The sequence below is a fragment of the Homo sapiens genome, chromosome 22 (assembly GCF_000001405.40).
Source record: "Homo sapiens chromosome 22, GRCh38.p14 Primary Assembly".
Taxonomy (NCBI): Eukaryota; Metazoa; Chordata; class Mammalia; order Primates; family Hominidae; genus Homo; species Homo sapiens.
In genome coordinates, this window is record NC_000022.11 from 39,676,947 (window position 1) to 39,690,003 (window position 13,057).

General features: G+C 61.9%; 1 protein-coding gene across 4 annotated transcripts in view; it reads left to right on the forward strand.

Moving 5' to 3' along the window:
* The window catches only part of CACNA1I (calcium voltage-gated channel subunit alpha1 I), a 118,983-nt gene extending 106,194 nt beyond the window's left edge, over positions 1–12,789 (forward strand). For 3 of the 4 annotated variants that reach the window (NM_021096.4, NM_001003406.2, XM_017029036.2), the window contains 8 exons: positions 395–473; positions 1,041–1,162; positions 2,161–2,499; positions 2,776–2,922; positions 3,984–4,106; positions 5,550–5,715; positions 7,356–7,552; positions 8,815–12,789. In NM_021096.4, coding sequence (NP_066919.2) covers positions 395–473; positions 1,041–1,162; positions 2,161–2,499; positions 2,776–2,922; positions 3,984–4,106; positions 5,550–5,715; positions 7,356–7,552; positions 8,815–9,459 — 1,818 coding nt within the window. In that variant the 3' untranslated portion in view covers positions 9,460–12,789. Of the gene's footprint in view, positions 1–394; positions 474–1,040; positions 1,163–2,160; positions 2,500–2,775; positions 2,923–3,983; positions 4,107–5,549; positions 5,716–7,352; positions 7,553–8,814 lie in introns of all 4 variants that reach the window. The other variant, XM_017029035.3, reaches the window with a different exon arrangement.

The following is a 13,057-nucleotide window of genomic DNA, read 5'->3' on the forward strand; positions in this document are numbered from 1 at the left end:
ACCCTTGTCCTACCAGTTACTAGCTGTGCGACTCTGGACAAGTGATGTCACCTCTCAGTCTGTCTCCTTCTTCTTCTGAAGAATGGGGATAAAAGATAGTTCGTGGATTATTGTGAGGAGGAAGTGAGCTCATGAACCTTAAGTGCTGGAAATGGGACAGCTTGTGGTAAAGGTGGCACAAGTGTTTTCTTGTTATTCTGAGCCCTGTGCTGGACCCAGCCTGCCCTCCAGGTCCTGTAGGGGTGGCAGACGTGGACACACAGCCTGGGGGAATGTTACAGCTGCTCTGACCCACAGGCTGCCCAACCCCACTGCCCCAGCCTCCACCCTTCCCAGGCCTGGTGCGCCCCCACCCGCTCCCCAGCCCCACCCGGCCTCACCTGTCCTCCCGCAGGTGGGCAACCTGGGCCTCCTCTTCATGCTGCTCTTCTTCATCTATGCTGCTCTCGGGGTGGAGCTCTTTGGGAAGCTGGGTGAGTGACTCCCAGAGCAGGCCCGTGGTGGGGGTGCAGCAGGGCTGCAGGAGGAACTGGGGGGGCGGGGGAGGCCTGAGACCCCTGAGCCCGTCACATCAGGGTCTTTGTATTGGGGAGATGCCTACAGCAGGGCCCTCAGCTGTCTGGTCTCCCAGGAAAACTGCCCTCCCTACCCCGGTGTTGGTGCCTGTCCTGAGCCAGCGCCACCCCAGCAAGTGGAGAGGCCAGGGCAGGGGAAAGAGCAACAGAGCGCTCGCTGAGCTCCGCCCTGCACCGGGATGGCTCCAGAAAGCAGGGTTCCCCGAGGGGCTGGCCCTCACCCCATTTCACCCTCTTTCTCAGAAACCCATTCTTCGGCGGGGAGCAGAGCCAGACTCACCCAAACCTGAGCCCCAGCTCATGTGCCATCTCCCCGAGCCTCAGTTTATCTGTGGGCTGGGCACAGTCTGCAGGCCCCTCCTAGGGTGTGATGAGGGTTCTGAGGCGAGGCGGGAGGCACCAGGTCAGGGTGAGCCCCGCAGGCACTCCGCCATCGGGCAGGGCTGACCTCCTCCCCGCTTCCAGTCTGCAACGACGAGAACCCGTGCGAGGGCATGAGCCGGCATGCCACCTTCGAGAACTTCGGCATGGCCTTCCTCACACTCTTCCAGGTCTCCACGGGTGACAACTGGAACGGGATCATGAAGGTACTCCTGGGCGGGCTGGGGTGGAGAAATCAGCCAGGTGCTGGGACAGTGAGGATGCTGGTCCTGCTGCTCAGGGCTCTGCCCACCCAGGGCCCCACCACACATGGGAGGGGCATGCAGGGCACGGAGGAGTGGAGGGGCCTGCCCAGGACCAGCACAGTGGGGAGAGCTGAGCCAGAACAGGCCCCCTGTCTACACTGCCTCATCCCCCAGTGTTGCCTGGGATCAGGGCTCAGATTCTAGGGTAGACAACTCCACCCAGTTCCGGAGGGGACCTGGGGCCCAGGCAGGCCTGAAGGCCAGGGCCAGGCCCCCTAGTGATTTCCACGCTGACCAGGTCACCCGGCAGAGGCTCCCTGGCCTGGGCTGCAACCCGGGCTGGGCTGGGAAGGGCAGGGAGGGGCTCCCAGAGGACAGGGGTAAGGCCTCGGTTCCGGGGCCCTAGGGTGGAGAGGGCAGAGGTAGGCCTGTTCTGCCTCCCACCCCCACCCTGCAGAGCCCCCAGTGCCCCCAGCAAGGGGGCAGGAAGCCAGGGTGCTGGGAGAGGCGGCCAATCTCCTCAGCCCAGGGCGGGAAGGTGATGGAGTCTTCTTGGGCTTTGTGGTTGGGGGTTGAGCTGAAAAACCAGAAAGGAAGGACAGGGAGGCCCTGGTCACGAATGCACCCTACTCCCCAGGGGCCCCTGAAGGAAGCCCCAGATGCCCCTTCTCAGGCCTGACTGTCCCGGGGAAGCAGGCCAGCTGTGGGGAGGGTGACATGGGCAGGAGCAAGAGAGGAGGAGAGGGCGCTGGGCCATCCGTCTGTCCATGCGGGGACTTAGCTGAAGCTGAGGCAGGCAGATGCCGCAACAAGGCAGAGTGGGGCAGGGCAGCCCGGGGCCATCTCGGGGGTTGAATCTCGGTCTTGCTGCCTCCGAGCGTGGCCCTGGGCTGGCCTCTGCCTCCAGCAGCCTCTGGGATGTCTCCGTCCTCATCCTCACCGCCCTCCCTGCCACGCAGGACACGCTGCGGGACTGCACCCACGACGAGCGCAGCTGCCTGAGCAGCCTGCAGTTTGTGTCGCCGCTGTACTTCGTGAGCTTCGTGCTCACCGCGCAGTTCGTGCTCATCAACGTGGTGGTGGCTGTGCTCATGAAGCACCTGGACGACAGCAACAAGGAGGCGCAGGAGGACGCCGAGATGGATGCCGAGCTCGAGCTGGAGATGGCCCATGGCCTGGGCCCTGGCCCGAGGCTGCCTACCGGCTCCCCGGGCGCCCCTGGCCGAGGGCCGGGAGGGGCGGGCGGCGGGGGCGACACCGAGGGCGGCTTGTGCCGGCGCTGCTACTCGCCTGCCCAGGTGGGCAGGGGCTGGAGAGGTGTGAGGGTCGCCAGAGGGGGGGCACCGCAGGGCCAGATGGGCAGCAGGGCCAGGGAGGCCTTGCACAGAGACCTCTGTCTTTCTGGGCCCCACCCTGCTCAGCTCCATAGAAGGGGTGACCCTGTGATGAGGGGGTCGGTCCCAGGCCATGGGCGCAGAGAACCAACCGGGAGGGCAGCTGTGTCCTGCCCACCCCACAGCCCCGGGACCCGGCTGATAATCCCGCCTGTCCCCACCCCGTCCCCGTCCGCCTAGGAGAACCTGTGGCTGGACAGCGTCTCTTTAATCATCAAGGACTCCTTGGAGGGGGAGCTGACCATCATCGACAACCTGTCGGGCTCCATCTTCCACCACTACTCCTCGCCTGCCGGCTGCAAGAAGTGTCACCACGACAAGCAAGAGGTAATGGCAGCCCGGGAGGCCTGGCCCCTTGTGGCAGGGGCAGCACGAAACCTGGTGGGGGGCCTGTCCGAGGGCAGAGCCTGGCTCTGGGCTGTAGAGACCAGGCTGGGTCAACGTGGGCACACGTAGCTTCCATGGCTGGGGCAGATTGGCTCCCTGAGTCAGGGCCAGGTGTGGGCCTGTGGTGTGGTGGCCACAGCTGCCGACCCCAGCACCATGCCGCACACAGTAGGTGCTTGGGTAGGGCAGCTGCCCCACCTTGTGTGCTGCAGGTGCCAGGCAGGGAGCCTGTGTGTCACTTGCAGGACAGCTTGCCCTTTCTGTGACATGAGGGGTCATCTGCCCGCTCTTCCCCCAAGGCATCATCCTGGCACTCAACCTCCTCCAGGTGCCCTGTCCTGGCCTCCACCTCAGGGCTTAGGCCCACCCAGCTCAGGGGTTCCCATGGGCCTGCCTCCAGAGCAGGCGCAGTTAGCCCCCTCCCCTCTCCCCAGCAGTGTGGGCCCCTGAGCTCTCCCTGGGGTGTTCCAGCCCCCAGAGTGGCCCCAGCCTCAGGTGGCTGCAGGGCAGGTCCCCAGGAACCATCAGCAGGAGCTGGAGGACTGGGCTGCCCCACATCCCTGCCCTGTGGTGGCTGCAGATTCTCCGGTGTCTCTGGGCCCCGCAGTGTCCCCTGCCTGTGACACGCTGTGCAGGTCATCCACATGGGGCCATAGATGAGTCAAGTCCAGCCCAGTCTTGACGGGCACTTGGTCTGGGGGCAAGCAGACAGCTGTGGAGTTCACAGCCCACGGCAACTCACCTGCCCTCAGGTCCAGGTAGCAAGATGGGCCACTCAGAGCTGGCTTCCACTGGAGGTGGCCACTGTGTCACCATCGCATGTCACCCAGGCTGGGCCCCTGCACAGGATGGACACATCATCCGTGTCCAGCAGGTGTCTGGACCTTTCTGACCACTGCTCGGCCTCTCTTCAGAGCCTCAGGCCTGTGGCTGCACGCCCCAGGACCCAGGTCTGCCCATCCCAAACCTGGGTGACCCGAGGCCACCCCCTCTTCCTGCAGGTGCAGCTGGCTGAGACGGAGGCCTTCTCCCTGAACTCAGACAGGTCCTCGTCCATCCTGCTGGGTGACGACCTGAGTCTCGAGGACCCCACAGCCTGCCCACCTGGCCGCAAAGACAGCAAGGTCAGCTCCCCTGGGGACTCCTGAGCAGGCGGGTCTGTCCTTGAAACCTGGCCCCTGCCCACCCAGGCAGGACCCCCCTGTCTTTCCAGTCTACCATGTAAACGGCACCCACTGTGCTAGGCCTTCATCTCCTGTTGGACAGATGAGGGCAGTAGGGCTCAGAGAGGTGGAGTGATTTGCCTGAGGTCACACAGCCACAAGCCCAGCCAGCACTCCAACCCGGCACCCAGCAGTACTGGCTGCTTCTTGTTGCTTTGAGTATTTTCTGGTCCATTCCACGGGGGGTCATCCCTGGCCGGCGGGGCTGTGAGGCTGAAGCGAACGGGGGAGTCATGTCAGGCACAAGCACCTGCTATGTGCGGGGGCGGTCGCGTCAGGCACAAGCACCTACTATGTGCAGGCGCTCTGCCCGTGCCACCTGTTTGTCTGCCGCACGGCTCTGTGCAGCAGGGATGATTTGTTCCCACTTCACATGTGAGGAAATGGTTCCAAGAAGTGGGGCGATGCTCACATCACACAGCCAGGAATGACAGAGCAGGAAGCCACCCCAGGGGGTCAGTCTGAGGAGGCCTGCAGGCCAGGAGGGGGCTCTTGCTGATCCTGCAGTCTTAGGGGGTGAGATCTCAAGACCTGGGCTCCTGATCTCAAGGTCAAGGTGGTCCTGCCCTGCTGGGGGTGGGGGGTGTAAGGGACAGCTGGGGGATACCCTGGGCTTGGTACCTCTGCCCCCTAGGCTGGCCCTCCATCAGCTCAGAGTAGGCTGTGGGGCCAGTTCCTCCTGTCCCTTCCATGTCATTTTGGTCCCCTCCCTGATTGGTAACAGTTGCTGCAGCTCCCCGCACCCCTACACTGCTCTCCTACAAAGGATATCAGGATGCACAGTTTCTGGGACTCAGCTGGACTTGGGCAGGGTGCAGTCTTTTGTGCCAGACTCAGCAAGTCATTGGAGGTCGGGGTGGCACGAGTTCATCTGCCTTGGAGGGGGCATTAAGGCGGCTCTTCTGGGAAGGGGTCACTCTGGGCTGCAGGGCTGAGGAATGTGGGGGCCAGGGAATGCCTAGGAAGGTAGGCGTTACTCTCCTTGGATGCAGAAACAGGCTCAGCAAAGGGAAGGGACCCACCCAAGGTCATGCTCATGGGACACTCGTGTGGCCACTCAGCCTGTCTTCTGATGCCTTCGCCAGCCTTGACCTGGCTTCTTCGCTGGGCCAGGGTCTGTACCAGGGGAAGTCACTAACTGCCTGGGGCATCCAGTGGGCATTCGGAGGTGGATTCCTTTCACGGGATTTTGGAAGATGGTCAGGTAGAGGAGGTGAGAGGAAGGTCAGACTAGACATGAGGGTAGCCTAGTTAAGCAAGGGGCCGTGGAGCAGGTCATGAGGTACCCTTCATGAGCTGTCCCCCTTCCCAGTCCTGCCCCATCCTACCTCCCTTTCCTTGCAGGGTGAGCTGGACCCACCTGAGCCCATGCGTGTGGGAGACCTGGGCGAATGCTTCTTCCCCTTGTCCTCTACGGCCGTCTCGCCGGATCCAGAGAACTTCCTGTGTGAGATGGAGGAGATCCCATTCAACCCTGTCCGGTCCTGGCTGAAACATGACAGCAGTCAAGGTGAGGGGTGGGAGCCCTGCCAGCTCCCCACAGCCCTCATCTTGGGCATCTGCTTCAGAGGGAGATGGCTGAGTTTTTTCCTTAGTATTTTTACCCAGATTATTATATTTAGTCCAGAAAGAACCAGATGGATATCTGACAATGAGAGATAGACTCTCAGGCCTGATATAACAATGATAAAAGATCAAGAGCCAAATAGTACAAAAAGATGAGGTAATTATAACAAAAACCTAAGCATCTAAAGGAAGCTTCATGCTGAGCTTCCTAGGAGCCATGGTGAAAAGGGAAAGAGGTGGGTACACACGGCTCTCATCAAGCAGAAGGAAAGCTGCCAGATTATTGTGGTGTTTTTCTAGAGCTGAATTTGAGAGGTGTGTAGCCCACAGATCTTCATATACACGGGGATGTTAAACATAGGAAAGCCTGGTGTCTTCAATAGCCGTTTTGTGAATTCCTGATACTTATCCTTCAGCCCTACCTGCAGTGTTCTGTTTATGCTTTGGGCCTGTGGCTGGGCTCTGGGCACAGGGCCAGGGGACTAAGCTGGCCTGCCATCATGGGCTCATCTTTGTTGTGGTCCTCATGGAGGGTGGCAGGAACCTGGTTTCGCATCACTGGCTGTGGAGGGAGGCAGAGAGATGAGGAGCCCAGCAGAAGAGGGATGCCCAAGACTCTGAGCCCACCCCAAGTACCCTTCAGGGACGCCTCCCAGGAGCCAGGGGTGGGGTGACTTTCCTGGGCACCCTCCTGAGAGCTGATGGGCTCTCAGCTGGCCAGGGTGGCTGAGGTGCCAAGATCCCAGACTTCCCAAACCAGAATTCAGGGCACAGGGCTGACCCGAGAGCCATTCCGGTGGAATGCAATCTCATTCCCTTTAGCCAACCATTTATTTACGTTTTCCTTAAATGGTAAGATGGTATGGCATAGGAACCCCAGCCAGGACATTCAGACTGTCCAGCCGTCTTGGGTACATTTTTCCATTATCTCACCCTCAACCTGCAAGGTGTGGAGGGGACTGTGGGCAGAGGCTGCTGCTACCCCCCACGCCCCCCACACCCAGACCTGCCCCAGCCTTCAGACCCCCCACCCCCATCCTTGCCCCTCACCATGTGCAGCCAACCAGGCCAGACTGACCTGCCATCCAGTGTAGCGCCTGACCCGGGGCTGGGACGCCCCAACCCACCTGCTGTCCCACAGTAGCCCCCAGGCCTGGCCAGGCCCCATGGTGGGGTCAGGACCTGGAGGTGACTGATCCTAGTGAGCACCTACTATGTACTTGGTACTGAGCTGGGAGCTTCCAGCTGTTTCTTCTCCTTATGCCCCTCAAGATGGCATCTTGTTCCCTTTTACAGAGGAAGAGAGCTAGGCTTGAGCCCGCGTCTGCTTGCCTCCAAAAGCTGTGTCTTTGCCCAGGGCCCCCGCCCCCTGGAATCAAAAGGGCTGCTTCAGGATTTCTCTCTTGCTCTCACAATGGGGAAACGAAGGCTTAGAGAGGGGGGACTTGTCCACAGTCTCACAGTCAGTTTATTAGGTGGCCCCTCACTGCTGGCCCAGTGAGATTGGTGCTCAATGCCACCTTCCAGGGGCTGCCCCCTGGCCTGAGCGTGCTCCCTCAGCTCTGTCTTCTCCTTTCCCAGCAGCACCCCCAAGTCCCTTCTCCCCGGATGCCTCCAGCCCTCTCCTGCCCATGCCAGCCGAGTTCTTCCACCCTGCAGTGTCTGCCAGCCAGAAAGGCCCAGAAAAGGGCACTGGCACTGGAACCCTCCCCAAGATTGCGCTGCAGGGCTCCTGGGCATCTCTGCGGTCACCAAGGGTCAACTGTACCCTCCTCCGGCAGGTACCGACACCTCCCAGGCCCTAGAGCACTGGTCTGTGGGCAAGGGGCAGGATCTAAGCCAGGCCTGGAAGTCCAAGGGACTGGGAGGGGAAGGACCCAACCAAAGGCCGAGGGCACCACCGTGCAAGGGGGTTTGGGAACGCTGGGGTGACGCTGAGACTGGAGGGGGAGGTGGCACTGGGGCGGATGGAGTGGGCGGGGCTGGGTCCTGGGGACAGCAGAGTGTGGGGAGGACCCCAAGGCGGGTCTGGAAGAGGCCTGTGATCCCTAGCTTGAGGGGAGGGGAGGAGAGGAGGAGGAGTACTGGAGGTTTTGCAGGGTGGCGGGGTGCTGGCAGTGGGGAGGACACCCTGGGTGCTCTGGGTGGGTGTGAGTGGGGGCTTGATTACTAGGAATGGAGGTGGGAGGGCGGGTCTGGTGGATGAGAAGCCTCGGGCTGCAGGGTCCCCCGTACTGGATTGGCCAGGGCCACAGCCCTCCTACCCACGGGCACACAGAGGTCTGAAGCACTGAGGGCTCCGCTGTGGGGGTGGGGAAATGGGGCCGGGCCGGCTCCCACAGTGAGTGCAGTTGATTCACTGGGTGACTGTCTGACCCGTCACACCAGGCTGTGTGCTCTGGCGGGCAGGACACAAACTCCCTGCCTGCCGGGCTCACTGTTTAGTGCTGAGAGTGAGCTGCCTGGGTGCAGGAGGGATGATAACCAAAATAAATGTCTGCAGAGTAAAGTCTACTCCATGGTGGACAGGCAGGGAGAACAGCTCCTGGGGAGGGGCTGCAGGTGGGGGGCCCCGGGGTTGGGAGGTGGGGGGCTCTGGGGCTGGGAGGTGGGGGGCCCACGGGGCCGGGAGGTGGGGGCCAGGGGCCGGAGCAAGTGGGAGGGACCGGAACCAGTGGGAGCAGCCAAGGCTGGGGCCGCGTCAGACCATGGGGGGTGCGGTGGGGGTGCCACGTGCCCTGGGGGAGGGCGGTGGGCCCAGGGCTTCCCCTTGGAGTGAGCCTGGAGCCTTCTGTGACGGGCAGGGCCGGGTCTGACCTGGGTTTGAGGCGGATGCTAGCTCCTCTCGGGGGACCTCTCGGGGCAGGTGAAGGCCCTGCGGTGACGCCGCCTAAGCTGGACGTGCGGAGGGGAGAAGCCCTGCTCCGAAGGGAGCTCCTTGGATGGGGTCTGCCTGCTGCCTGCTGTGCGGGGGAGGGCGGCGTCCAGGTTGCTGGGGTGGGGGCCGACACAGGCGGCCTCCACGGCTCCCACCTCCCCCCAGGCCACCGGGAGCGACACGTCGCTGGACGCCAGCCCCAGCAGCTCCGCGGGCAGCCTGCAGACCACGCTCGAGGACAGCCTGACCCTGAGCGACAGCCCCCGGCGTGCCCTGGGGCCGCCCGCGCCTGCTCCAGGACCCCGGGCCGGCCTGTCCCCCGCCGCTCGCCGCCGCCTGAGCCTGCGCGGCCGGGGCCTCTTCAGCCTGCGGGGGCTGCGGGCGCATCAGCGCAGCCACAGCAGCGGGGGCTCCACCAGCCCGGGCTGCACCCACCACGACTCCATGGACCCCTCGGACGAGGAGGGCCGCGGTGGCGCGGGCGGCGGGGGCGCGGGCAGCGAGCACTCGGAGACCCTCAGCAGCCTCTCGCTCACCTCCCTCTTCTGCCCGCCGCCCCCGCCGCCAGCCCCCGGCCTCACGCCCGCCAGGAAGTTCAGCAGCACCAGCAGCCTGGCCGCCCCCGGCCGCCCCCACGCCGCCGCCCTGGCCCACGGCCTGGCCCGGAGCCCCTCGTGGGCCGCGGACCGCAGCAAGGACCCCCCCGGCCGGGCACCGCTGCCCATGGGCCTGGGCCCCTTGGCGCCCCCGCCGCAACCGCTCCCCGGAGAGCTGGAGCCGGGAGACGCCGCCAGCAAGAGGAAGAGATGAGGGTCGCAGGGGCCCCCGGCCGCCCACCGCCCGCCCCGTCTCACCTTCTTTACCTCAGGAGCCAGGAGCAGACAGCAATACTTCGTCCACACCTGGGATCGCGCAGGGCCCGCAGGGCACAGGCGCCCGACAGCCGGGCTGAGCGGAGTCTGGGTTAGCCAGGCCTGCGTGGCCCATGGTGGCCCTTCCAGTGCATATACATACATATATATATATATATGCATATATATATATATATATATATATATGTGTATACACACACACATAGACAGACATATATATATATATTTATTTTTTTTACTGAGAGCTTATGACTTCCAGAAAGTGCTAAAGGTGGGAGGTGGGCCAGGGCCTGGACGGGGCTTTTGTCTGATGCTCTGGGATTCTGGCCAGACCCACCCCAGGGCACATGTCCTGCGGGGGCGTCCCAGCTGTGTTTTTTGATGTCTCCTCCCTGGTTAAGAGTAGCTTGGAGAGGACCCTCAGGCCTCTGAGGGCACCAGGCCCTGGAGAAGAGGTGCAATTCAGGGTGTGTGTGTGTTTTTTTTCCTTTAAAGAAGAAACGCTGCTAAGATCCCACGTGGCTCCCACGTGTCGGGGTGTCTGTCCTGTCATCCTGACTGTCTCGTTATTGTGAAGTCTTTCGTAGACACCCCAGAGCACACACATCCCCTTAGTCCACCGGTTAGATGTCTCTCTTTAGAAAAATCAGGGGTGAGTAGCTGTGTTTCCTTAGGCCTGGGGTAGGGGATGGAGAGCAGCTCCAAGGCTGAGCTGGGGCTCTGGCCCCAGGTGAGGTCCCCAGCTCCTGAGCACTTCTGAGGGGGTGGGTTCCACCCCCAGGAGGGCGGGGGTGGGTGGAGCAGGAGTGGAGGCAGCCTGCAGAGGAAGGGTGCGGGAGACTGAGCCGGCAGTGGCTTGCTTGGAGGGGCTAGGGTACCCGCCTGGTCTCGGCTGGCTCCAGCTGCCCTGCAGGTGCCCCTGGGCTCAGGTAGTTAGTTGTTCAGCCACTAATGCCTTTTATCCCCCATATGGGCGCTGAGCTGTGGCTGTTCCTGGACACTGTGCTGTCCCCGTCCTGAGCAACTATGCCCCCGCCCCAGTAGGTTCAAGGCAAAGCAGCTCTGACCGAATTCTAGGCAGGGGTGGGGGCACCTGCCTGGGCCCTGGGTCCAGCCGCATCCCCATGCCCAGCCTTTCGCGTCACCTGGAGGCCACATCTTCCCACCCCACCTGCCAGCCCCTGTCTCTCCTCCCCGCTGCCCCTAACTGCAGCTCAGCTTTCACTATAGCAGTGCTTCCCAAACGGGTTCTAGACTTGGGTGTTTGATTTGAAGAGTTACGCATTTATTTCACTATTTATTGGGAAAAAAATGCATTGAACCCGTGATTTCACAGACATTTTGCTTAGGTCAAGGCTACTTTTTAAAAAGGGAGTGACTTTCATGAAGTCAGTTTGAAGAAGGAGGTTGGGAGCATGTTGGTGGCAGTGATCTGGAGAGGCTGCAGGGGCCACGAGTTTGCAGATGCTGTACTTCAGCAATAACCTTGCCTTTGCTAAGACCCCCTCCGAGGGCTTCAGGGGGGCCTGCCAAGGGGGGGCCTTGTTCTTGTTCCCAAACTCTGACTTGGAAGAACTCAGCTTGTGGCCGGGCTGGTGAGGGTGTGGGGTGCGCCCTTCCCTTTTGGGCTGAGGGAGAGGGGGCCGGGAGGGGTTGTCAAGCCCACCCGGGAAACTGAGCCCTGGAGAGGGGAAGCAGCCAGCCCAGGATGCTTCAGGGCCCTGGCAGCAAAGAAGCTGGGGTGGTGTGGAGGGCCCTACTCCACACCCTAGAGCTGTGATGCTGAGCAAGGTGCCTGTGGCGGAAGGAACTGCCCAGTCCTCCCTGGGGGCAGGTAGACCTGTGGGGATGGCTCGGTCCAAGCCCAACACTGCCCGCTCCAGAGAGCCTCAGCCCTGCCTCCCTTTCCACAGAGGTGGTTTTATGTGGAACGAGGTACCTTGTCTGGGGAAGAAGTGGAGCTGGGCAGGCTTGACTGCTCCTGGCTGACCCTGAGCTCTCGCAGTTGGAGGGAAGCAGACAGACTTGACTTTTTGCAAGTCCGCGTGTTGCTGGAGGGACACGTGTATTGGAGCCCAGAAGAGGGGCTGTGTGGCCTGGGAATACCATGTGGAAGGTTGGGCTTCAAGTTAACAGGATCAGACACCAGTCAAGCAGCCTCAGGTCATCTTGCGACTCCACTGAGCAGCCTTTCCTGTTGTCACATGGGTTCAGAGCAGCTGAGCAGGGAACACGTCCTAGGCAGGTCTGACGTGAAACCTCCCCTTACCCTGAACCGTGTGACTCTGCAAGCAGACACCTCGAGGCAGGTGTTCTAGGCAAAGGGATGGGCATGAGCGAAGGCTCCAGGGTCCACAGAGCAGGGAGTGTGGAGAAGGTGGAAGAGCTGAGCTCAGAGGCAGAGAAGCTCCTTGCAGGGAGCACTGGGAGATGGCCTGGCCCGTCCCAGGCTCCTGGAGGCCCCACCTGCCGATCCCAGGCACTTGACCTTGTTCCTGTGGGTGACAGAGATGAGAACCAGGGAAGCTGTGATCCACTGGCCAGGACAAGTCAACATGGGTGAGGGTTGGGCAAAGGGCCCTTCCTTCCTCCCCAACCCTGTGGTCTGGGGCCATGGCCTCAGGCTTGTGTCTATCACAAAAGCACAAACTTGCCCTAACCCACATGGGCCTGGCTGTGGGGAAAGTGGGGACCCAGGTCCCTGAGCTGTCTGCTGGGCTCCGTAGAGCGGTGGTGGGCAGGCACCTTGGCATCTGTGCAGAGACGGCCCAGTCTGGCCAAATCCTCTTCCTCTCCCCTGCTCTACCTTCTCCGGCACCAGGCAGCCCCTTAAAGGAGGACAAAGTGTGTAAAGCCCGTCTGCTGTCTTCCCCCAAATCCTCAGCTCAGAGCCTTCCGCTTCCAGGGCCAACCCCAGCCCCGTTTGCTGCGTTGTGTAAGGGCTTGGGGTCTTAGAAGCTGCTCTTTAGCCCAGATACACATACTCTTTTTTGTCTTTGTGCAATAATCAGTGTTCCTGGCAGAGCCTGGGCCAAGCTGCAGCCTACTGAGGAGGCAGAGGCCACCTCCTCCAGAAAGCCCTCGGCCTGGGCCGCCGCCGTGACTCTAGCACTCTCAGTCGCTGTACAGTTTCTATGGTGTGAATGAACTTCCCTCCTAGTTGCTGATGGCGCTGGTACCTGCTGGCCCATGGCCCGGGTGTAGAGAAACCAAGCGGCAGCCACCACCAGTGTTGTTTTGAATAAAAGCCCAGAAGCCTATTTAAGAATTTCTCCGTGTGTCTCTGCTGTTCTTTCCCCAGCGGGGTGGGTGTCAAGCTGAGGCTTCTCTCAAGGGAGGGGTGGCAGTGTCTCCTCCCCCATTTTCAGGCATGGGGCCTGGGGCGTCGGGGACCTAGAACAATGCTCATGGCAGGGTGCTCTCATGGCCGCTGGGTGGCTGGGGGCCTGTGGAGCTGGGGAGGAGGCAGGCCTGGTTCCCATACTCTGCTGCTGTGGCTGAGTTGCTGGACCCGGGCGAGAGGGTCACGTGGGAAG